The following is a 25,084-nucleotide window of genomic DNA, read 5'->3' as shown; positions in this document are numbered from 1 at the left end:
GTATAGATTTCAGACTAAATCTAAAGAACCTATATTCAAAGACATCCATAAAAAAGACTACACAGTACACTGTCAAGTAAGAACGACAAAGGGTTCACTGGGTTTTTAATAGTCAAGGCTGGTACTAGACTGCAGACCCCAGGGAATGCTTTTCATGGCTGTATTAATGTATCAAGTTCTAAGTCAACAAATTGGCAGTTGCAATGACTTTTTTAACCAGAAATAATTATTAATGGGAAAAGCAAGTTTCCAACATCCCTATCCTTCCCACATTATGACTTCCATTGACAGTGATTTTTAAATATATAATTACTCAGAAAATGGATTAAAACCAGATTATTCACTGTCCGACACCAAATTTTTTCAGTGATGTTAAAAATTCTCTTTTTGGATAGTAATTTCCATCACTTGGAAAATAAAAGCCAAATACAGTATGATCAATCAAGAGTGTTGCTGGTCGCACTGAAAACTGTGAATCCAGGGGAGATACATGCCTTCTGGCTGGAGTTCCTCCCCAGAAACAAGGGGCAAGACCAGTACTAACAGCAGGAAAATGAAATTTCAACCCACAAGGCCCTCTGTGGTCAGGTGCCACCCAGTCCCAAGTAGTCAGTCTCTAAATGCTGAGACCTCTGAGAAGGCAGGAACTTTCTGGAACTATTGTGTTCATTTTAAACTTACAGATTCTGCTGGCTTGCATTTTATTTTATACTAACTTGCCTACTATCCCTTTAAACTGCCTGTTCTCTCCCTCATCTCTCTTTAAACGAAAAATAATATCCTATAAAACAGAGCAGACAGACAGCTGTGCACTACTGCGTAATCCATCTTTCTAAAATCCTCACACTTGACACAGAAGCCAACTCTCATTTTAGATGCTTGGAAATAGAATCAAGAGCAAATTCTAGCATTCTGGGTGGCTAGGTTGAAAGTACACATGGCAGTTCTCAGAAGGGTGATGGGGCCAGCGTCAAGAAATGCTCTGTTCTTACCGATCACACCCTTCATCCAGATCTTGACAATCACACAAACAAGTAGCCACGTGGTTCTTTTCCCCATTCCGATCTATGTACTCGCAGCAGCACAGGGGCTCCAATTCAGGTTCTTCGGTTTTCTTTTTCTTCACAGGCTTCATACTGCCCTTCTGTGTCATGATTTGCACCTGTCACCATGAGGCGTAAGAAGCCCTCAGAAGGTAAAGGTGGAAAGAACACAACTTACATCTCGTAAATAGGTCCACGCCTCTCTCTCTCTGCTTAACCTCCAACGCCTGAGCAATCAAAAATGAGAAGAGAGAGGGGGAGGGGGTCCCGTTTTCATCAGGCTTCTGTGGCTCCGCCTGGCCACACAGGGGGCTCCAGGGTTCTTGGAGGTCTGAGCTGCCTTCACCGCCCCTTCCCAGCCTGGGCAGGCGCCGTCTGGGCACCAGCCGTTCCTATGGCGACAGCCGACCACGCGTCCGGGACAGCCGGGGCGCGGGCGGTTGCGCTCACCTGCGGGTGCAGGCTGGGAGGGCCGAGCGGTCTCCGCTCCAAGCCTGGGCGCTGGTGGGAACTCAGCCTCGGGGCTATAGGGAAAGGCGAAGCATATGCCCGCTAGCAGCGGCTGACACACCAGGCTCCCTGGCAGTGCTCAGGGGTCGCGGTCCAGCCCAACTGGTCGGGCCCCTTGCAGGGTGCGCCTCTCCCGCCCCCGCCAATCCGGAGGACGTGGGCGGGCCTCGCGCACCACCCCGCCAGGAGAATGACCTTGGAAGGGAAGTTACCTGCCCTCTGGCCGGAGGTGCAACTGCAGCCAAAGAGGCGGAGGGGAGATGGGTCGGCTTCCCCGGAGGCACAGACGCGTCTCCCGATCTCTGCTACGCGGAGCCCCGGGCGTGACGGCAGGAGTCTCCGGGACCCGGGCTCCGCTCGGCCGCTCCCTCGCCGCAGCCGCCCACCTGTGACCACAGCCCGCCGCGGCCCGGGCGGCGCGCCCGCCTCCCCGCGCCGTCCCAACCGCCCCTCCGCCCGCCCGGCTCGGTGCGCCAGGTCCACGCGCGCTTCCGGGTGCCCCGCCCCCGGCGCCGGGGTTCCCCGCCTGTCCGCACGTGCGCCGCCCGCCTCCCCGCGGTGCCCGCGGGCGAGGCTCCTCCTCCTGGCCCGCGGCCCTGGCGCCGGGAAGGGGAAAATCGGCTCCCGAGAGCGCGTCCAGGAGGCAGGGGCAGGAGGTGGGTCCCGCACCTCCGGCCTGCCCCGCCACGCCACGCCCCGCCCCGCCCCAGAGGCGGCAGCCGGGCGCCGCCGGTGCCTGCGGGCGGCGCGCCGGTGGGACAGCCTCCGGAGCCCCGGGGTGCGGACGAGGTGCGGAGACGGAAATACGGGAAACCCGGGAACCCGGAGGATTTCCGAACTACGTGAGACCGTGGAGCCGCCAGCCTTCATTCAGACTCCGGCAACAGGCGGTGAGGGAGCTTTCCACCGCAAAATGTTATCCAAGTACCTCCCCCAGTTTCGCTGACCTTCTCTTAAAGGCCCATCACTGCTGCCGGATCTGTTCATTTAGCAACCTGTTCGTTTCATGATTTCTGGCTAGCAGCCTTTACATTGGACCAGCAGGCCTCGCTAGTACTTTTGTTCCAGTCGTCTGTGTATTTGAGATGAAACTGCCCTGAGATGAGAGTCCTTTTTGGGTTTTATTATTGCACAAAATTTCTTTAAAGAGTGTGGGCCCATGTACACGTTTCACTACCGCAGGCTTTCTAGTTTTGTTTTTAAGTAGAAAAAGAAGAAAAACTACAACTCAGAAATTTTCAATTTTATTAATATTCAATTTACGTAACAGGCTCAAATTTTATTAATTGAATTCTGCATCCATACGAATTTAGTCTTAATTTATAAAGCAACTTACTTCGATACTCTTCCTTGAAGTATGTTATAAAATACAACGTTTAAATAAACATCACAAAAATATTGTTTGTCGATCATTTTTGTGACTTTAACAGAGAAATCTTCAAGTTTATAATCCACTCATTCTTGCTTACAGCCAGACACTACATAAATCCTTACCAAAACAAAACAAACCCAGGTAGGTTCACTGTTACCCCTAGGTATGCTTCGTTGGAATTCACCCAGAGAAACCCATTTTCCCTCTAACGGAGTCAATACTTTCATTCTCTACAGGCATCTCAAAAATGACTATAATAATGCCATGTGGCTTTGGGGACTCTGGAGAAAAATGAAACATTTAATTAAAGGCAATAGTTGTTCAAACAGTAAGAATGTATACACAGTTTATATATAGATAGATAGATGGATATGTATTTTTTCCCCAGAGAAAGGGCTCAAGAGACAAAACAGTAAAACACTTCAACTTTCCCTAACTCTTGAAAAAATATCTGATTTTAAGTCAGTTTACAAAGTTCTTATTTTAATGAGCCACTTGTATGGAGACACATATGCATAAAAACTTTTTATGAAAGAGCCAAAGCTTGCATCTGAGTTAAAACTTGATAGTCAGTACACTTGTACTGGGACATACGTGCCCCTGAAGTTTTTATTAAAGAGCTAAAATCTATGTCTGGCTTATAACTTACCAATCAAAACAAGTCACACACATACATAAAGAAGGAAGCCATACATGGTTACTGAAAATACACAAATTATTTTCAACCAGATGTGTCACTTCCACCATGAAAGACTGCTAAGCTGAAGCCAATCTTAGTTCAAGTATGCATTTGATCTGTCACTAAATGCCCAGATTTTAACATAACCTTCTGGTTTTTAAAACTCAGAGGATGGTTCTTCCTTTTGACTGTTGGTATTCTAAGTGAGGAGGCAAGATAATCCCACCTCTGATAGTTACCTTAAGAAAAAACAACTATTTCTTTCATAAAGATACAGCATGGCAGAAGACCCTTTCTGATAATCATCATCAACATGCAGATTCAAAAAGTTTGACTATTAAATTTGCATGCTAAATAAATGAAGACATTATAATCTTTACAGTACACAAACCTGGAAATGTTATATGCCTGAAAACAGAACCTTTAAAATCAGTAATGACATAGAGGTTTCTTCTTATATTGTCCTGTTTATCCTCTTGGTCTTATCTCAGTTACAAAAGCGACCTATTGGACATGTACGGATTCTGTGCTAACAAAGCATCAGACTTCACTGTAGAAATGAGACCATACCACTCAATTCAGGGTGTGTCATTTTCTTTTTGTATCAGAGAAATTCAGTTCTATAATATATTTCATGGTTCACTGAAGAAATTCACAGCTTAAAAATATCTATAAGAAGTGAAAGGATGGATTATTAAGGCCAGCAGAAACTAATTATCAAATAAATGTTACTGAAAGAAATGTTCATATTAGAAATCTCAATAATGAAAAAACATAGAAATGTTCTATGCCAAAATCCTTCATTCGTCTGGTTTTCTTCCAGGTATTTTCTTTAAGTTCCAAGTATCTCTGCGGTTTTAGTCCTTCAGATCACTAGCTTTCAACAGCCATGCCAGTCTTATTCTTATTTAGTAGATCAAACGTTTTCTGAAGCATAATGAGTGAGCTCTTCAGCTGTAAACAAAGTTAATTTTCAAAATCAGATTAATTTTTCTAATCAGATTTGAAAATTTCTGTTTTTTATGCCCAAAATTTACAGTGACACTTAATATAGTTTTGTTTATACTGATGCCCAAATAAAACGTTAAATACAAAATACCTGATTCTTTGGGGTATCTATCAGTATGATTGCTACAGAGTTCTTCCCATTTGCTGGAGTATTGTACTTCTTCCTACTGCTACATAGTCTACCTCCCAATAGGTCCATTAATCAAATTAAGCGTAGTGACAGACTCGTTTTCCTAAAAGATTTCTGAAGTTGCAGTGGTCTCCTCACTATCCCCTAAACAACTCAAGTTTGCTTCAGTGCCTTTGCATGCTCTCATCCTCATGTTCTTCACCTAAAACTTACTCATATTCACACTCTTCATGTAGTTTTCCCCAGTCATTCTGCCTATAAACTCCCAAAGCATTATCCTTACTACTTAACACTTTGACACTGAATTTTGTAATCTTTGTCATTAACAATACACCTGGACATCTCATTTCTCTAAGAAAATTGTGTGCAACTCAAGAGCAGGAATTATGTCTTACTCTTTTTTTGTATTCATTCAACAAATATTTGTTGCTTGCCTATCACATGTTGGGCAGTGTTCTAAGCACTGGATATACAATGGAGAACCAAATAGGCACTGTCCTGTCCTTCATGGAGCTTACAGACTAGTCAGGGATCCAGAACTATTAATAAAACAAATAATCACATACATAAATATATACTTAGATATTTTATTAAGTTTTTGACTTGAGCAGCTGGTGGATGGTAGCATCATTTTCTGAAATGAGACCCACTAGAGAATTAGGTTTTGGATTAGAGGAAAATTGACTTCTGTTTTGGACATAATCAGTTTGGGAATCCTGTTAGTCATCCAGGTGAAGATGCCAAGTAGGCAAGTGACTGTATGAGTCTAGAGCTCAGGTCGAGGTGAGAGATACGGACTTGGGAGTTGCTGCTATCTGAACATTTGTGTCCCCTTCAAAATTCACGTTCAAACTGAATCCCCAATGCAACAGCATGAAGAGACGTGGCCTCTGGGAGGTGATTAGGTCATGACGGCTCCTATGAATGGATTAGTGCTCTTATAAAAGAGCTTCAGGGAACTAAATAGTCCCCTTTTTTGTCCTTCAGTCCCTTCTGCCAGGTGGACACCAAACATGCCAGAACCTTAATCTTGGACTCCTCAGCCTCAGAACTGTGAGCAATAAATTTCTGTTCTTTATAAATTACCCAGTCTCCAGGATTTTGTTATAGTAGCACAAATGGACTAAGACAGGAGTCATTGGAACGTGTGGTTATTTAAAGTTAGGGGTGTGAATAAGATCACCTAAAGGGAGAGTAATAGAGAAGGAAAGAGAATCTAACACAGAGCCCTGGAGCATTTGGGCCAGGAGGAAGTCAGGCAGAGGAGATATTTTTATTTTTTATTTATTTTTATTTTTTGGAGACGGAGTCTCGCTCTTTCACCCAGGCTGGAGTGCAGTAGCATGATCTCAGCTCACTGCAACCTCCGCCTCCTGGGTTCAAACAATTCTCCTGCCTCAGCCTCCCGAGTAGCTGGGACTACAGGCGCCTGCTACCACCCCTGGCTAATTTTTTGTATTTTAGTAGAGACGGGGTTTCGCCAAGTTGCCCAGGCTGGTCTCAAACTTCTGAGCTCAGGCAATCTGCCTGCCTTGGCCTCCCAAAGTGCTAGGATTACAGGTGTGAGCCACTGTGCCCAGCCAAGGAGATGTTTTTAACTAGCAAAAATTAGTTTTACATTTTTCTAAGTGAAAGAAGCCAATCTCAAAAGACCACGTATTGTATTATTCCATGTATATAACATGTCCAGAATAGGCACACCCATAGTAATGGAAATTAGATTAGTGGGTGCCAGGGGTCAGGGGGAGTGAGGGATGGGAATTAACTACTAATGTGTACAGATTTTCTTGTGGGGTTATGAAAATGCTCTGGAATTAGATAGTGATGATGGTTGCACAACCTTGTGAATAAAAACTTTTATTGTATGTAAATTACATCACAAAAAGATTTTTTTATGGTTTTAAAGAAAGCAAGATTAGATACATTAGATACATTTCAAGAAAGAAGTGTTTAGCTCTGTCAAATGCTGACACTGTAGGATGAAGACTGAAAAAAGGTACATTCTTTTTACAAGCCAGATGTCACTGGGGACCTTGGCTCAAGCAATATTAGTTGGGGAAACCATGCGGGAAGAACATCAGGCAGGAGTGAGCTGAAGAGTGAATGAGTGGAATAAATACACACATCCAACTTTGCTCCCTCAAACTCTACTAATAAAGAGATTTTTTAGAAGGCATAAAGCTATAAGGGCAAGGAAAATGGAAAAGGAGACAACAGTAATGCAACTTTGGAAACTGGAAAGCAGATGGATGACTCAGCAGGCCTGGAAAAGCTGAATTCTAAAGTAAAAGTAATGCTGAGAACCAACAAAATTAACCCTAAAGAATCCTCAAAAGGCTCAGGTGTTAATGACCAGGAAGCTCTGGAAGTGAGAATAAAGAGGAAGAGCCAAAGGAAGGATTGCATGAAACTTTCGGCATCTGACCTTTCCTACTACCTAGGCAGAAGTCTGGAATTTTATTTTCCGTGCAGGATAAAACAGAGGGTCTCTGGCTGCCTGGCTTGAGGGACACCAAGGCATTGTTAAGGATAGCAGTACATACCAGAAACAAGGGTAATACAGGAAAATGTATGTACTGAATCCTGGGACCATCCTTTCTGCCTTTCCTTCCCCTATCCCTCTTCCGCTCAGCTCCTAAAACGCTGCAGCCAGCCCTAAATCCACCAGGTTGGAGACTGGAGGAGTCTTCTCTGTGGACACTGACCCAAAGGTGCTGATAACCAGGATTTCTCAGCCAAGAGCCCAGCCAGATCTACAGAGAAGTTTGGGGTACACCAGCCCAATCCATATGTAAAGAGCTTCAGATCCACACAAGAAGATAAGCAAGGGCTACCAAACACTAAAGAAATTCTCTAACCTTAAAGATAGAAATTAAAACGAGGGTGAAGATCTTGATGCAAAATGAGTATGCCAGAAGAAGATTTAAAAAATGTTAACTATCAGTAATATCTTCAGAGAGATAAAGATATGGTAGCCATTAAAAAAAAAAAAAAAATTGCAGCTGGGAGCAGTGGCTCATGCCTGCAATCCCAACACTTTGGGAGGCCAAGGCAGGTAGATCTGCTGAGCCCAGGAGTTTGAGACCAGCCTGGGCAACATGGCAAAACCTTGTCTCTACAAAAACTGCAAAAATTAGCTGGGCATGGTGGCTCACACCTGAAGTTCCAGCTACGGGAGGGTGAGGTGGGAGGTTTGCTTGAGCCCAGGAGGTCAAGGCTGCAGTGAGCCGTGTTCATGCCACTGCACTCCAGTTGGGTGACAGAGTAAGACTCTTGTCTCAAAAAAAAAAAAGATGGCCGGGCACGGTGGCTCATGCCTTTAATCCCAACACTTTGGGAGGCCGAGGTGAGAGGATCACCTGAGGTCGAGAGCTCAAGACCAGCCTGGCCAACATGGCGAAACCCTGTCTCTACTAAAAATACAAAAATTAACCAGGCATGGTGGCACGCGCCTGTAATCCCAGCTACTCAGGAGGCTGAGGCAGGAGAATCACTTGAACCTGGGAGGCAGAGGTTGTGGTGAGCTGAGATTGTGCCACTGCACTCCAGACTGGGTGACAGAGTGAGATTCCATCTCAAAAAAAAAAAAAAAATTGCAACACCACAAAGAAAAGAAATCATTCAGAAAAATGATAGCTCTTTGAAACTGAAAATTTGTTAGCGAAAACTGAAAAACTCAATGGAAGAATTTGAAGATAAAATTGATAAAATATCCCAGAAACAGACCAAAAAGACTAAGAGATGGAAAGAAAAGGTAAGAATATTACATAACCCATCCAACAGAAGGCTGACATCTGAATAACAGGAGTTGTAGAAGGTCAGGAGAGAGAAAATGAGGGAAGGAAATAATCAACTATATGACTCAAGAAAAATTCCAGAATTATAGGCATGAGTTTCCAGATTAAAGAATCAAGAGTGATAATAGCCTCAGAATTCTCAATAGCAATACTGGAACCAAAAGATAATGGAGCAATGCCTTCAAAGTTCTCATCAAACCATTTATAAGCAAGAGAAAAAGTAGAATGAAAAATTTTCAGTTAGGTGAACTCTTAAAATATTTACCTCCAAATTCTCTTCTCAGGAAGCTACTGTTGGATGTGCTCCATTAAAAGGAGGAAGTAAACTAAGAAAGGAAAACACAGGATATAGGAAACAGAAGACACACACAGACAATAGGAACCCCAGAATGATAGCTGTGCACCCGGCATAGAGGGCCACTGGACCTGACTGGAGCCATCAGAAGACCTCATCAATGGAGTACCTACGTGAATAAAGATTCTGAGAGATTTATAAACAGAAAATTAGGGGATTAAATGTCTGCAAATATTAAATGTCTGTAAAGATAATTGGCAATAGTGGTAAAAATACTAGTAAGATAATTATGGTACATTTATACAGTTGAATCTTATGCAGCTGTTAAGGGGGTTTGCTTTATATACTGAGATGGAAGTATCTCCAAGATATATGGTTAATAGATAAAAGTAAAATAATGGACAGTGTATGTAATAGCTACCATTCCTGTAAAAAGAGCTTAATATTATGCATCGAATTTTATTTAGAAAGATCAATAAAAATGAAGTAGATGTATACACACTGATATGGAAACATCTTCAGAATATATTACTAATTGAAAAAAGATATACAACAGTGTATATTGTATACTCCCATTTTGTAAATAAATAAATAAACAAAAGTGACTACATAATAAATGTAATACCCTTGCATACTAGAGACTGGCAGGGGTAGTTGGCTCTAGCAGGGGGATTTTTTCAAACGATAGTAGGGTAAATATTCTCTCATACACAGAAGAGCAACTAATTCATACTGGGACAAAGATACTAAGTACTGTGATGTATCGAGTTGCCTACCTGTTCAAGCATCACTATGGAGTCTCGGAGCACTCCCTTTAAACGATGGGCCTGATCTTTATTCTTCTGAATAGTTTCTGCTCTTGACACCATATCAGAGGCTAAACTGAAAGAAAAATGCCATCTTCAAAATCTGGAGAATAGCTTCTGATCTTTTTTTCATTTCCAGAAATCATCAGAGCCCCATAAATTTGCAAACAAAACACAAAATTAAACAAACAAAAACAGGCTGTTTATGGCTACAGGATAGTTAGCAGACCACAGTCTCTGAAACTGAAATTAAGTTTTCTGCAACTGAAGAATTACTGAAATAATATGGTGAATACAGGTCAGGGGGAAAAAGACTTACTTTAAAGATTTCTCTTCTTGGAGGCGGAGACGGTAAAAGGACTGAGCAGCATGTTCTATCTTTGACAGCTTCAGAAACAGTGTCACATTCAACAAAACTAATAACAACACACTAGGCAGAGCAAATTATATGTTAATCCACACTTTTCCAGACCTAAAGCATTGCTAATGCAGAATATACATGCAAAAGCTTCAAAAATGTGTATTGTCTACACTGTTTTTCATTGTTGTTATTATTTAAATCAATTATCCCTATTTTATTATATGAAATAATTACTTGTAAGTATTAAGTGGAGGTTGAGGAAAAGATGGAAGGTAATTAGAGTGACAATACAAGTCCTTGAATAATCCGAACTCACAGGTTTGGGGTATCTGTGACATCTCTCCCCTCTGCTAGGAATACTAGTCAGTGTTGATGTGAGACCACCAGCTTTGAAATCTACCAGATAAGCTTTTAGGATCTATTTTTGGGTGCCTTTGGCTTAGGCAATTATACGCTCATAATGCTGCCTTTCAGAAAAGGAAATGAAGATCAATATGTAGCTGATCTCAGGTAGAGCATGATGTACCTCTTACTCCCAGTGGAAGTCAGAAAAAAAAAAAAATTACCATTCAGCAAAAATTATTCTAGTTCATCTTGCACAAAGGAAGTATCAAGTCCCAAATATACATTAATGGTGTCATATATAAAATGTTACATGCTAAATGAACTTAATGTATTGGTTTTCACAGCAGCCTTTCAAGTGAATGGTTACATACCATATATATATATATGCAAATATACAGGTGGCATCATATCTGTCTACTTTTTCTATTAAAATATTAACTTGCCCTTATTCACTTTTACCCATCAAGAAGATTTATTTTTAAAAACTTAAGATAGTAGCAAGAAAATCCAATCTTTGAAGTTATTATGGCATTGAAATGGTATACAGATTAATATTCCAACTTTTGAGTAAACATTTTCTGTAAAGTAATGCAAAAGAACACTGATAATATTTGCTATTCAGAACTGTCGTAGAAAACTGATTTAAGCAGAACATAAAAATCTTCCATAAAGCCCAAAGGAACAACAAACATCTTCTATGTTCTGAAATCTATAATTAGACAAAAAAAAGCTAATATTGAAGCTCCAATCCAAAAATTATCACCTTCAATATATCACTAAGTCAGAACCAATTCAATTAAATCTAACATAGTGCCTCAAGATTCATATAGAGGCATATAGATATTAGTGTTCTAAATATGACTGGCTGAGTGGATTCCTATAGAATACCCTGGGATTCAGACATTGTCCCAGTATTTTTCACCATGTAATGCTCATATCACTTGCATCAGAATAACCTGGGGTGTATGTTTAAAAATACTGATTCCTGATGCCTACTCAAGAATTACTGAATCAATCTCTGAGACAGGGGTCAAGAAATCTGCATTTTAGCAAGCACCCCAAGTGATTCTTAGGCACAGCAGAGTTACGTAAGAACCATTTGTCCAATCAAATAGAGTAAAATAGTATTATTGGCACTTCCCCAGCATGTATATATAAATATTCCCTTTAAATTTATGGAACTTCCCATAAAAACCTATGATGATAGAAATTAATCAGATTAGCTAAAAAATAAAAACATCTGTTGAATGAGTACTTTGTATTTCCTCAAATTTAACAATTCTTCTGAAAATCATATATAAAGCTAAAAATCTGAAACCTATAAAATTGCTATTTTTGTAGGCCGGCAATAGTCAAATAGTGGCAATTTCTACACAATAATATACAAATACATTCAAATTCTTTTGGAAACTAGTTAAAGATAAATGCTGAAACAAGCAAAATAAGCATTCACAACAAATACTTACAAAATACTCATTACCACAATAAGAGTGACGTTATAGTTTTCCATTTCCTTTTTCTTTCCTGTAGATCACAAGAAAAAGGCTGCATTAGAATGAGAATTGTGATTACAACTGATCCAAATTTTTTTTTTTTTTTTTTTTGAGAAGGAGTTTCGCTCTTGTTGCCCAGGCTGGAGTGCAATGGCACGATCTCAGCTCACCGCAACCTCTGCCTCCCAGGTTCAAGCAATTTTCCTGCCTCAGCCTCCTGAGAAGCTGGGATTACAGGCATGCGCCACCATGCCCAGCTAATTTTTGTATTTTTAGTAGAGATGGGATTTCTCCATGTTGGTCAGGCTGGTCTCGAACTCCTGACCTCAGGTGATCCACCCGCCTTGGCCTTTCAAAGTGCTGGGATTACAGGCGTGAGCCACCGCACCCAGCCCTCAACTGACAGAAATTTAATACTCATTTGAAAAGAACTGAAAAAGAACTTTTAAAAATTATTTGTAAAGACAAAGTGATTTAGGGTAAATTCCCTGCACCCCTTTTTTTATTTCTGACATCCTGAGTAATATGAAACAAATCTACAAAGAGAAAACTTTCAGCACTCCTTAAAATTTGGCCTATATTGCAAATTACTTTACTCTAAAATTAAACAAGCAATTCAATACAACATGCTTGATAGCTAAGTAGCTAATAATCAATAAGCAAATATCTCTCCAAATAATATTTGAACTGGGCTTACATAAAATGCTTCCCTAGTTAAAAAACAAAACAAAACAAAACATTATCACCTATTCATTGTTACCCAAACTTTTAAATTCCAAAATTAAAGAACCATTAATCTTAAATAGTGGATAAACATAGTCAACACTAAGCTACAAGCCTCAAAGGAAGATCTGATAATGTAAGAGGATGAGAAGTTATGACAGTTTTATACCTCTGAGAGGAAGGGAATAACAGTTATTAAAAGTAAGATGTGTTCAAAATTGAGAATGAAGATAATAAAAGTCAAATGTTATCTTTGCAATTTTGCTGGGCTGGCCCTGACAGTATATAAGGATTAAGAGAGCAGTACACTCAAACGTAGAAATTGAATTTCTATAAATGCTAGGCAGCAAATAAATAAGCAAAGTGGTTCAGAAGTTGGCAGGGTGGTGATTGTGATGGGGGCTGTGGCAAGCTGGGGCGCACTCAGTCTAACAGGGCAGCTACTACTATGCTCCAACAAACTGCTGCCATGAAGGGATTTCAGTGCTGGACTGTCAGATCTGAGTTTTTATATAAAAAGGTCCAATTTTAGCCAGGTGTGGTGGTGCACACCTGTAATCTCAGCTACTCAGGAGGCTGAGGCAGGAGGCTCACTTGAGCCCAGGAGCCCGAGGTTACACTGAGCCATGATTGTGCCACTTACAGCATGGGCAACAGAACGAGACCCTATCTAGAAAAAATAAATAAAATTTTAAAAAAAGTTTAATGTCCAATTCTTAAAATGACACATGGGCCAAATAAAATATATTGGTTATATGCTTGCCATTTTGCAACTGCTCCTTTATACTTATATATTAGTTATCTTAAAGGAAATCAGAGTTTGATAAACATTATCCAAAAAGGAGGGAAGAAAAGGAGACCTCCTGACATATTCTTACAAACAAGAGGCACATTCTGCTTCATATAACTAAAGTAAAAATCTTTCATCTCTGTTTACCAGGTGACAACTACCTGTAATATCCCCTTTGGCACCTAAGCCCACATCTCCAGAGGAATGCTGAGAGGAAAGTTTAGGAACTGTTTCTGCTGTTCGGTTGAAGGTTCGCCTTCTCCTTCGTAGGCCAGTAAGTTTTCCAGGGTCTTCAATGGCCTGATTTAATACAGATTCTTCAATTAACAAATCTGATTCTAAGAAAAAAAAAAACAATCTTTATATAGTGAGGAAAGCTCCTCAACTATAAGATACAATGGGTTTTGGTGGTTATTTTTGATAATTTTCTTTAACAAATTCCTTAGGTTCTTATGACCTAGATTCAAATTTTACACTTAATGAAAAGCTTTAGAGAGTACAGTGACCCCATAATGAGGTTTCATTATTCCAGGAAGAATGTGTATTAATAAATGATGGGCTCATCAGAGCAAATTTGCCATGTGCTATGTTATTAATACATATTAATGTAATAATTTCAGTTATGGAAACAACAGGCTACCCACTTACATTGGATCATTAGAAAGATTTCAAAGACAGATTATGGTACTTCTCAACCTTACAGGAAGGAGTAGCATATACTAGTTCTAATTTTCAACAAAGGTTTACAAGAAAGGAAGCACTCACAAAGAAAATCTGTAAACAACCTATAAACCTCATTTTTGTCATTTGTTTCAAACTTTTCCTCTGCCAGAATTTTTATTAGAAACTTATTCAGTGGCCAAACTAATTTTTTTTGAGTTTCATTTTTCTCTGCTCCTGATGAAGAATTCAATAATGAAATAGACAAGGAAGAAAGGCAAGAAAAATTATCAGCAAACTAGATGATAAGCCTTAAATTACCTTGAGTTGACTGACCACCAGCTTTTCTTCAACTAAACTTAAATTATGCTTGTGTATATATATGTGTATATATATATACACACACGTATATATACATGCATATATGTGTGTGTGTGTGTGTATATATATATATATTTCTCGCATGTATATGTTAAGAAATATCCAAAGAGAACCACCGTATCGTTTTCCCCAGTCAGTCTCTAGTACCCACCTCCAACCAAATCCATACATGTACATACTACCATTGCCAAGTGGGCTGCATAAGCCCAGGAAAGCTGCATCTGACAAGGAAGGTAGCCCCGAGGACTCCCCAGAGCTTAGACAGCACAGGTGTATATCTATGATCAGTTTATGCAGTCTCCTTGGCTCCTTACAGAGGCAAAGGGGTATGAGAGCTCTTAACTGTGTGATCTTGATAAAAGTCACTTAACCTCTCTGTGTTTCAATTTTCTCTTTTAATAAAATGAAAAATAATAATTTTAACTTGTTCTGAGTATGAAATGAGTTAATATCTGTAAAGCACATAGAACTTTATTATGTATGTCTGGGATATAATAAGCATTATGTAAGTGTTTGTTCGGCCAGGCACGGTGGTGCCTCACACCTGTAATCCCAGCATTTTGGGAGGCTGGGCGGGTGGATCATGAGCTCAGGAGTTCGAGACCAGCCTGACCAAGATGGTGAAACCTCGTCTCTACTAATAATACAAAAATTAGCCGGGTGTGGTGGCACACGCCTGTAGTCCCAGCTACTCGGGAAGCTGAGGCAGGAAAATTGCTTGAACTCACGAGGCGGAGGTTGCAGTGAGCCAAGATCGCACCACTGCACTCCAGCCTAGGCAACAAAGCAAGACTCCATCTCAAAAAAAATAAAAAATAAAAAAAATAAGTGTTTGTTTGACCAATGAAAATTAAAAGTTTTGAAATTCCCTAAGTGGCAGAAAAAGTGGGACAGTGGGAACCACTTTCATGGGAGTCTTTCCAACATCATTGACCAGTTTTCTGTTACAAATCTAAATGAAGAATCAATCCATTTTGTTAATAAATCCCATCTTTACAAAAATAGATAAATAAAAAAATTTACAAACCAAGCTGTTTGAAATAGTCCTCCAAAGAACTCCAGGAATTCTTTTCAATTAAAGATTTGACAAGGCCCCATGGCTGTTTTCTGTATTTCAAATCTGTGGAAACTCTAGTAGAATAAGAAGGAAAGAATATTTATTTAAAGAGCAGACTTTAGTTATATTCATGTTACAGTTAAATGTAAGATTGTATTCAGTGGAAAGTCAAAAAGATTCAAAGTCATTAATATCATAAAAGAAAATGTGTTCATTGATAACTTTTATTTAAAAAATTAATGTGTGCTGCTAATAATTTCATCAAATTTTCCTTCTAAGTACTTGCCATTTTACTTATTTCCTTTCTCTAGCCCTAAATTTTATTTATCTAAATAGCAATGAAGGCTCAAAATAAATACTAAATTTTCTAAATTCCTTGTATAAAAAATCTCTAGTGGTCATACACTAGGTGAAAGTAACTACATTAACCAGAGTAGGCCAAGTACATGATGGCCCATCTCTCTCTGTAATGCACCAACATTTCTCATTTCCCACTGCAGCAGAGCCAATTACCGCTCACTGAGCACTCCCCCAAAACTCCCAGCCCCTTTGCCATTAAACAAGGTCACATGACTGGTTCTGGTCAATGGATTGTGAACACAATTCTACAGCTTTCTCTTCCTGTGGCAACTGAAACAACACATATTCTGGATCACGTAGCTCCGGGTGTCAAAGCCTTCATCAAGCGGGGGCCTTAGGTGAGAAGCCCCACTCCTCTGCTCACCCCTGTTGGAAATGTAATTTAAGCAAGAAATAAAACTGTTGTGTAAAGCTACTACTAAGAATTCAGGATGAATAAATTACCAGGACATAATCTAGCCTATCCTAACACATTCATGTACAGCAGCTCACCTTAGCCTGCATTTCTGTTTTGAAGATCGGATGATACAGTATCTGTTCACGGTATAGAAGTAATCATGGTAGGGGACATCATGTGTCAGTACTTCTGAATCTACCAAATAAAATCGTGCTTCCCGACTTTCTTTATACAGTGTCTGCCAAAGTAAGATAAAAAATGTTTGTATGTATATGCTTAATATATGAATCTTCTTGCCAATTTAGAACATGTATATTAGTATTCCTTCTCAAAAATTACAAAAAACATGAGAAACCTATATACAAAGCTAAAAGAGCCTACATGCTGACTCTGTTGTCCATAAATTGAGAAAAAGAGGGCCGGGTATGGCGGCTTATGCCTGTAATCCCAGCGCTTAGGGTGGCCAAGGTGGGAGAATTGCTTAAGGTCAGGAATTCGGGACCAGCCTGGCCAATATAAAAACACCCAGCCTCTACAAAAAAAATTTTTTTTAATAAAAAATTAGGCCAGACGCAGTGGCTCACGCCTGTAATCCTAACACTTTGGGAAGCTGATGTGGGTGGATCATTTGTGGCCAGGAGTTCAAGACCAGCCTGGCCAACATGGCAAAACTTCGTCTCTCTTAAAAATACAAAAATTAGCCAGGAGTGGCGGCACATGCCTGTAATCCCAGCTACTCGGTGGGAGGCTGAGGCAGGAGAATCACTTGAACCCAGGAGGCAGAGGTTGCAGTGAGCAAGATCGCCTCACTGCGCTCCAGCCTGGGAGACACAGCAAGACTCTGTCTCAAAAAAAAAAAAAAGAAAGAAGAAAATATTAGTTGGGGTTGGTGGCACACGCCTGTAGTCCCAGCTACTTGGGAGAATGAGGTGGGAAGATCATTTGAGCCCAGGAGTTTGAGGTTGCAGTGAACTATGACTGCACCACTACACTCCAGCCTGAGTGACAGACTGAAACTGTCTCTTAAAGAGAGAAAGGGACTTACAGAAATTACATTTGCTGCCCCTGTGTCATTTATTTCACTGGCAAATTATTTTTTCCTTTAGGCATGAGGACAAACCACATAATCTCTTATGTGTATTATAAGTTTATAGAGTTTTAAGTGTTCCTGTTAGGTGAACAATTCAAAAATCAATTGAATGAAGTAAGGATCCCACCTCAAAATTAATCAAAGTTCAACGAAACCACCCTTCACCAAAAAAGTCAAGAAGGGTAGTAACCAAACAAAACACTGCTTTTCCTAAACAGGATTTTAAATGGTCATTGGCCAAACCTTTCTCATTTTAACCATACCTTTTCTACCTATCCTGTAAGGGGGTTGGGGGGGCTTCCAAAGTTTTCAAAGACCCTCCAATACCAAAATACCAGACTTTTCTTACGTTTGATAATCTTTTAAGAATTGTTTAAAGGTATGGAAATACGTTCTTTTTAATGATAATGAACAAAACTATTGTTTTGTCCATTTGTTTGCTCTTATAAGCACAACTAGTTCAGATGTTAAGAGATGTTTTCAGACTATTTGCAAATCAGATACTCAGCACAAATTGGCTAAACACACATTCCACTGTAAGACACTGCCACTCTGGTCACAGATAAAGAGCATTAAATAGCTCATACAGTATTTAATTTCAAAAACTCATTCTCTTCCCATGTGTCAAAGCAGCCATCTAGTTATTTGGCCCCTAACTCTTGAAACAATTCTGTAAACCAGATTTGAGTAGTGTTCCTTTTTATGTCTTCTTTTGTTTTTATTTTTTATTTTTGAGACAGAGTCTAGCTCTGTTGCCCAGGCTAGAGTGCAGTGGCTAGATCATAGCTCGCTGTAATCTCAAACTCCTGGGCTCAAGCGATCCTCCTGCCTCAGCCTCCTGAGTAGGTGAGACCACAGGCACACACCATCATGCCTGGTTAATTTTATTTTTGGTAAAGACAAAGTGTCACTGTGTTGCGCAGTCTGATCTCAAACTCGTGGTCTCAAGTGATCCTCCCACCTGGGCCTCTCAAAGTGCTAATATTCCAGGGATGAGCCACCATAACTGGCCTGGTATTCTTTTTAAAAAAATATTTTCTTTGGGAGGTTGAGGCAGGCGGATCATGAGTTCAGGAGTTCGAGACCAGCCCAACCAACATGCTGAAACCCCGTCTCTACTAAAAATACAAAAATTAGCCAGGCATGGTGGCGTGCGCCTGTAATCCCACCTACTCAGGAGGCTGAGACAGGAGAATCGCTTGAACCTGGGAGGCAGAGCTTGCAGTGAGCCAAGGTTATGCCACTGCACTCCAGCCTGGGCAACAGTGAGACTCCGTCTCAAAAAAAAAAAAAAAATTTGAATATATGAAAGAGAAGAAATGAAGTATAATGACCCTCAGGAGCTCATCAACTAGCTTCAGCAACACTAACTCCTCCCCAGTCTTGCTTCCTTTGTCCTCTGTCCCATATTACCTGCCTCTATCACCATCCTCTGCCCAGCTAGATGACTTCTAAAGGAAATCCTAGACATCAATATAATGTCATCCATAATACTTCACTATATCTCTTTATAGATTCTTCCATATATCTCTTTTAAAATAAATATTATTTTCTTTAATACACAGCTGTAATACCATTACTATACATAAAAAATAAACAATTCCTGAAATCTCATAAATACCTTTTAACAAGTGGTTTGTTTGAATTAGGAGTGGGTTGATACGATTCATATGCCTTTTAAGTCTCTTTTAACCTGTAACAGTTTCTCCTCCCTTTTTTCTTGCCACTTGTTTATTGAAACTGTCTTGTAAATTGGTGAACTATAATAGGCATCTTCTCTCTTCCCCCACACATGACTCTTCTGGACACTGACAAAGCAGACGTACCTGCTTTTCAGTGGCAGCAGTGCATTTTCCAGTAAGTGGACTATTAAGGACTATAGTGTAGGTCATCGTTCTCAGCTGATCACCTCCAAGTTCTGCAGTCCAAGGGGTAGATACTACATCTAACAACAACAAACACAAAATGAGTTAGTTCTAGAAACTTAAACAGTATGACATTAAATGAAATCAAAGGAGCTTCTGAATTATTAAAATTTCTATTTTTGACTAGTGCTAACTTCCTTATAACTGGGTATTATAAGTTTAACATTAAAGAAAAGAGAGATTAAATGTTAAGCACTCTCCTTAAATGTGGCATATTCCCCATCTCTGATCCATTTATTTCTAAATTGTTTATTAATATCCTTTTTCCTTTTATTAGAAGATAAAATTAAAAGTTGTTTCATCTGTAAGCTTCCTTTTAAAGTCCTCAGTACCTATGAAGAGAAGTAATGATGCCAGGTTTATCAGAGACGGAACAACACTTTAACATTCCCATCACTGAGGACAAAACTTTAAAATATTTTTGTCATTAAGAAACCATATGACCTTGATATCAACTTACATAGAAATTATGTCAATGTTATGAGAAATCATGTAATGTCAGTGGCTTGTCTGCTAAAATCTTTAGTCACAGTAAGGCAATGGAACATAAATGATTATATAATCTGTCTTAAGAAGACTATAAGATCATATCTCTATGTTTATAGCAAGATCCTGGTAAAAATTCTCTTTTATTTGCTTAGGGACAATATAGTGATTAAATACCCACTTGAACAGAAATATAGTTCTAGAACACAGTGAAGGTCATTTCATGAAGCCAAAAACTTAAAAAGTATAAATAAAAGCATTAAAAACTCTATTCAAAGACATGATTGTATCACCTAATGCCCCAGCACAAATCGACTTAGGCAAGTACTAGTATGTTTGACTGCTATTCACCAATATCCTAAAGCATAGGAGCCTTTATCTAACCCCATTATACTCATCATCAAAGGAAGGAAGTGAGGCTTTAGAATACAGCCAATTTTACTCAACTTCTTTTATATTGCTAGATCTGAGGATTTAATGAGGGATCCTGAAATTGCCTTCTGAGTATCTGGCAAAGTCTTATAACTAAATTAAAAAGGCAAAATCACAAATCATAGAGTCTATCATCCAGGATTTTCTGTAAAATGATTTATTTAGGTATATATAAAAGAAGATATACAACTAATTCTAAATTACTTTTCAGAAGATTACTTTGGTCATATGTCAGCCTGTTTCAGGAAAATGATACAACCAGTCTGTTGTTAATCAGAAACAAAATTTAAAGATGTAATTTAATTCTGCTCTTAAAACTGCACACTACTCAATGAAGCAACTATCAACAAGGATAAATGAAAACTATTTGTCTTCCCATGAATGTTACCCTTGTAGTTTCAGCAATGTTACCAATAAGGTCTACTGAGTATTGCTTACCAGAGCATCACCTAATTAACATCATCTTGAAACAGTCAATCCTCCAATACCTAAGTAAAGCTTATCATAATGTAAAAAAAACCTGGAATGAATTGTAGGAAAAATGGCTAGTACGCAAAAGGACATATGAACCATTTTGATATATAAAAGGCAGGAACTGCAGAATTTTAAAAATCCTTTGATGTAATAAAGTTTTAAAATTGGTGAACGTTCGTGCCCATTAGGATAGCTATTATAAATAATAATCAGTGTTGGCAAGGATGTGGATAAATTGGAAACTTTGTACATTGCTTGTGGAAATGTAAAATGATACAGCCAGTATGGAAAATAGTAGCCACTCTTCAAAAAAGTAAAGATTGAATTACTATATGATGCAGCAATTCCATTCCTAGGCATATACCCAAAAGAACTGGAAGCAGGGACCTGAACAGACAGTTGTATGTCAATGTTCGTGGTGGCATTATTTACAGTAGCTAACATGTGTAAACAACCCAGATGTCATTAATGGATGAACGGATAAACAAAATGTGGTATATACATGCAATGGAATATTATTCAGCTTTAAAAAAGGAATACATTCTGATACATGCCCCAACGAGGATGAACCTGGAAGGCATTATGCTAAGTGTATTAAATCTGTCACAGAAGGACAAACATTGTATTATTCCACTTATGCAAGGCACCTTGAGTAGTCAAATTCACATAGACAGAAAATAGAATGGTGATCATCAACAATGGAAGAAATGGAGCGTTACCATTCAACAGGTATAGCATTTCAGTTTGGAAAGATTAAAAAGTTCTGAAGATGGATGGTGGCAGTGGTTGTACAATAACGTGAATGTACTTAATGCCACTGAACTGTCCACTTAAAAATGGTTAAATGGTAAATTTTATCTTATGTACATTTTGCCATAATTTAAAAATTGATGAATCTAGGCAAGTGGCATATGGATGTTATCATACTATTCATGCAATTTTTCTGAAGCTTTACATATTTTTAAATGTAAGAGTTGGGTAAAAAGACTTAAAACTGAGCTTTAATTAAAGGTAGTGTCGGGGGTTGGGTGGGTCAAGATGGTGAATTAGAAGCTGCTCGTGTGTGCCGCTCTCACAAACAGGAAACAACAGGGTTGATGAACACTGACCCTACTAGCTGATCATCTAAGAAACCATGTCAGAATCCATCCAGGCAGCAAGGGGACACAGAGGGCAGAGAGGAGCAAAGCTGGGCAGCGGCCCCTCTGGGATCAGCACAGAGCCAGGAAAAGCTCCTCAATATGGGAAAGGATGAGTGAGTGAGAGCTCCCTGGAGGATTGTACACAGGCACCTGTGTAAGACTAGTAATGGGAGAATTCCCTGGTTCCCCTGGCCCTACCCCCACACTTCTAAACTGAGGCAGAGAGACACCCAGAGTTTCTGCGGCGACAACTCTCAAGTCCATGGGGACCTCTATAAGCCTTGGACCCTGGAACGGAATGACACCAGTACCATATCCCCAATAGCGGTCACGGTCCTGCCTGGGAGCAGTAAGATTGCTTCACTCCACCTTGCCAGACAAGACTTGGTGCTAGCCTTCAGCCCAACAGTCCCACTTCTGCCTGAACTCAGCTGGCAGCCACAGCTTCCTGTTGCCCCAGGAAACACCTTGACAGCAGGGTAGGTGACTCCCACCCATCCCTGCTGCTGGTAGCCAGACAGGCCATGCCTGCTAGAGTGTCCAGCCCAGTGGTCTCACTTCTGCCTCAACTATGTGGGCAGGCACAACCCCGTGTTCCCCTAGGAAGTACCCAGACAGCAGAATAGGTGACCACATCCAGTCCCACAGCTCCTAGCTGAGCAGGATGTGCAGGCCTGAGTGATGCCCAAGGAGGGAGAAGCCCTCCCTCTAAGATCACTGAGAGAGTGAGATGCCCAGGTTTGCAAGCCAGTGGAGGGGCAGAGTGTAATTCTTGCTGCAGGGTTGACCTGGCAAGCATATGGCCTGTCTGCCAACCATGGCACCTGCTTAAAAGAGCCCCGTGGTCCAAAACACCCAACAAAAGAAACATGGGCACAGAGCCAGTCAAAGGGGGCTCCTCCAAGGCCCAAGAGCCAACCAGGGTAGGGGGTCATCACTTTCCCTTTTCACCCCAGAACACTACTACAAACCATGCCAAAACACAAATGAGTTGTGCTGCAGCGTTAAGAGCCTATCTGCCAGCTAATACTCTTAAACACTACCTACTAGATCACAGCCCAAAACATAACACCAAAATATTCTGCCAGTATACAACACCTGTGAAAACAAAGGTGACACCTGTGAAAACAAAGGGTTCCCACCAGCGCCCCTGCCCCAGCCAGTGCACAAGCACCCCACCATGCCATCCTGGCTGCTGGCATTCATGAGCAGCACAGATCCTACTGCCACCACCCCAGTGAATTGCTTTGGCCAGCAACCCCATTGGAGTATTGTGGCCAGTGGACCAGGAACACCTCCACCCCTCCAGTGCAACATATTTCTAACCTCGAAGGGCCAGAGAACAAAGCTGGGGACACACAAAACTATGTGTTCTAACTCTAGCCCCCCACAGTTAGAGCACACAGTCCAGGAGTTCTGAGCTGAGCCTGGGCCCCCTGAAATCTTCCAGAAGTGAAGATGGTCAACTGAACCCACCTTATTCCACAATCAAACCCCCACAGGCATCAAAGCAAAAAAACCCCATCCAAAAGACAGCAACTTCAGAGATAAAAGGAACATCAGTCCATACAGATGAGAAAGAACCAGTGCAAGAACTCTAGCAACTCAAAAAGTTGGAGTGTCTTCCTACCTCCAAACAATTATACTAGTTCCCCAGCAATGGTTCTTAACCAGGCTGAAATTACAGACATAGAATTCAGAATATAGATAGGAATGAAAATCATTGAAATTCAGGAGAAACTCAAAACCCAATCCAAGAAATCTAAGGAATACAAAAAAATGACACAAGAGCTGAAAGACAAAATGGCCATTTTAAGAAAGAATCATACTGATCTGAAATTTCATAATACAAATTGCAAGTATTAACAGCAGAATAGACCAAGCTGAGAAAAGAATCTCACAGGGCTGGTTCTCCAAATTAACTGAGACAAAAATAAAGAAAAAAGAATAAAAAAGAACAAAACCTCTGAGAAACATGGGATTATGTAAATAGATCAAATCTATGCCTCACTGGCATCCCTGAAAGACAGGGATAGAAAACAAGCAACTTGGACAACATATTCGAAAATATCATCCACAAAAACTTCCCCAACCTCACTAGAGAGGCCAACATTCAAATGCAGGAAATGCAGAGAACCCCTATGAGATACATACAAGACAACCATCCCCAAGACACTTAGTCATCAGATTCTCCAAGGTCAACGTGAAACAAAAAATATTAAAGGTAGCTAGAGGGAAGGGGCAGGCCACCTACAAAGGGAATCCTATCAGGCTAACAGCAGAAACTCTATATTTGAGGGCTTGAGGGCCTATATTCAACATTCTTAAAGAAACTAAGACCAAGAATTTCATATCCAGCCAAACTAAGTTTCATAAGTGAAGGAGAAATGAGATCATTTTCAGACAAGCAAATGCTAAGGGAATTCGTTACCTGCCTTCCAAGAGGTCTTCAAGGTGGTGCTAAACATGGAAATGAAAGACTGTTAGCAGCCACCACAAAAACACACTTAAGTACATAGACCATTGACACTATAAAGCAACTACACAATCAAGTCTGCAAAATAACCAGCTAACAACACAATGACAAGATAAAATCCACATATATCAATATTAACCTTGAATGTAAACGGGCTTAATGCCCCAATTAAAAGGCAGTGGAAAGTTGGATAAATAAGACCCAACTGTATGCTGGGTTTTGTTTGTTTGTTTGTTTGTTTGTTTGTTTTTTGAGACACAGTCTTGCTCTGTCACCCAGGCTGGAGTGCAGTGGCATGATCTCAGCTCCTGGGTTCAAGCAATTCTGCTGTCTCAGCCTCCCGAGTAGCTGAGACTACAGGCAAGTGCCACCATGCCCGGCTAATTTTTTGTATTCTTAGTAGAGATGCGTTTTCACCATGTTAGCCAGGATGGTCTCGATCTCCTGACCTTGTGATCTGCCTGCCTTGGCCTCCCAAAGTGCTGGGATTACAGGCGTGAGCCCCCGTGCCCAGACAACTGTATGCTGTCTTTAGGAGACCCATCTCACATGCAATGGCATCCATAGGCTCAATGTAAAGGGGTGGAGAAAAATCTGGCAAGCAAATGAAAAACAAAAAAAGCAGAGATTGCTATTCTAATTTCAGACAAAACCAAAACAGACCTTAAACCAACAATGATTTAAAAAGACAAATAAGGGCATTACATAAAGGTAAAGGGTTCAATTCAACATGAAGACTTACCTATCCCAAGTATATATGCAATCAACACAGGAGCATCCAGGCTCATGAAACAAGTTCTTAGAGACCTACAAAGAGACTCAGATAACCACACAATAACAGTGGGAGACTTC

The 25,084-nt window shown here is 40.3% G+C and overlaps 2 protein-coding genes across 39 annotated transcripts in view, besides 4 other annotated features; both read right to left on the bottom strand.

Moving 5' to 3' along the window:
* The window catches only part of ZDHHC23 (zDHHC palmitoyltransferase 23), a 31,608-nt gene extending 29,553 nt beyond the window's left edge, over positions 1-2,055 (bottom strand). For 10 of the 33 annotated variants that reach the window (XR_001740081.2, XR_007095654.1, XR_924119.2 and 7 more), the window contains exons 1-2: positions 1,766-2,055; positions 993-1,270 (exon numbers count right to left, since the gene is read on the bottom strand). Coding sequence is in view for 25 of the 33 variants with exons in the window: in XM_006713562.4 (XP_006713625.1) it covers positions 993-1,153 (161 nt within the window). In the remaining 8 variants the exon portion in view is untranslated. Of the gene's footprint in view, positions 1-992; positions 1,568-1,765 lie in introns of those variants that run through there. The other 23 variants (XR_007095656.1, XR_007095658.1, XM_047447886.1 and 20 more) reach the window with 7 other exon arrangements.
* Positions 1,361-1,460: a silencer, noted in NCBI's record as "silent region_14613". NCBI's record gives its function as "represses an Ori minimal core promoter by ATAC-STARR-seq in GM12878 lymphoblastoid cells {active_cell/tissue: GM12878}" and the evidence as "EXISTENCE:reporter gene assay evidence [ECO:0000049][PMID:35858748]".
* Positions 1,811-2,310: a silencer, noted in NCBI's record as "silent region_14612". NCBI's record gives its function as "represses an Ori minimal core promoter by ATAC-STARR-seq in GM12878 lymphoblastoid cells {active_cell/tissue: GM12878}" and the evidence as "EXISTENCE:reporter gene assay evidence [ECO:0000049][PMID:35858748]".
* Positions 1,811-2,525: a biological region, named in NCBI's record as "H3K27ac hESC enhancer GRCh37_chr3:113666278-113666778".
* Positions 2,025-2,525: an enhancer, noted in NCBI's record as "H3K27ac hESC enhancer chr3:113666278-113666778 (GRCh37/hg19 assembly coordinates)". NCBI's record gives its function as "activates a minimal SCP1, AML or CMV promoter by ChIP-STARR-seq in primed H9 embryonic stem cells {active_cell/tissue: H9 hESC(primed)}" and the evidence as "EXISTENCE:reporter gene assay evidence [ECO:0000049][PMID:30033119]".
* Positions 2,782-25,084, bottom strand: part of GRAMD1C (GRAM domain containing 1C) — a 118,983-nt gene continuing 96,680 nt past the window's right edge. For 5 of the 6 annotated variants that reach the window (XM_011512930.2, NM_017577.5, XM_011512931.2 and 2 more), the window contains 8 exons: positions 19,124-19,242; positions 16,303-16,445; positions 15,421-15,524; positions 13,514-13,690; positions 11,813-11,870; positions 9,960-10,070; positions 9,611-9,716; positions 2,782-4,558 (listed from right to left, as the gene is read on the bottom strand). In XM_011512930.2, the coding sequence (XP_011511232.1) occupies positions 4,478-4,558; positions 9,611-9,716; positions 9,960-10,070; positions 11,813-11,870; positions 13,514-13,690; positions 15,421-15,524; positions 16,303-16,445; positions 19,124-19,242 (899 nt within the window). In that variant the 3' untranslated portion in view covers positions 2,782-4,477. The remainder of the gene's footprint in view (positions 4,559-9,610; positions 9,717-9,959; positions 10,071-11,812; positions 11,871-13,513; positions 13,691-15,420; positions 15,525-16,302; positions 16,446-19,123; positions 19,243-25,084) is intronic. The other variant, XM_005247547.3, reaches the window with a different exon arrangement.

The sequence above is a fragment of the Homo sapiens genome, chromosome 3 (genome assembly GCF_000001405.40).
Source record: "Homo sapiens chromosome 3, GRCh38.p14 Primary Assembly".
Classification (NCBI taxonomy): domain Eukaryota; kingdom Metazoa; phylum Chordata; class Mammalia; order Primates; family Hominidae; genus Homo; species Homo sapiens.
This window is presented reverse-complemented; position numbering and strand designations above follow the sequence as displayed.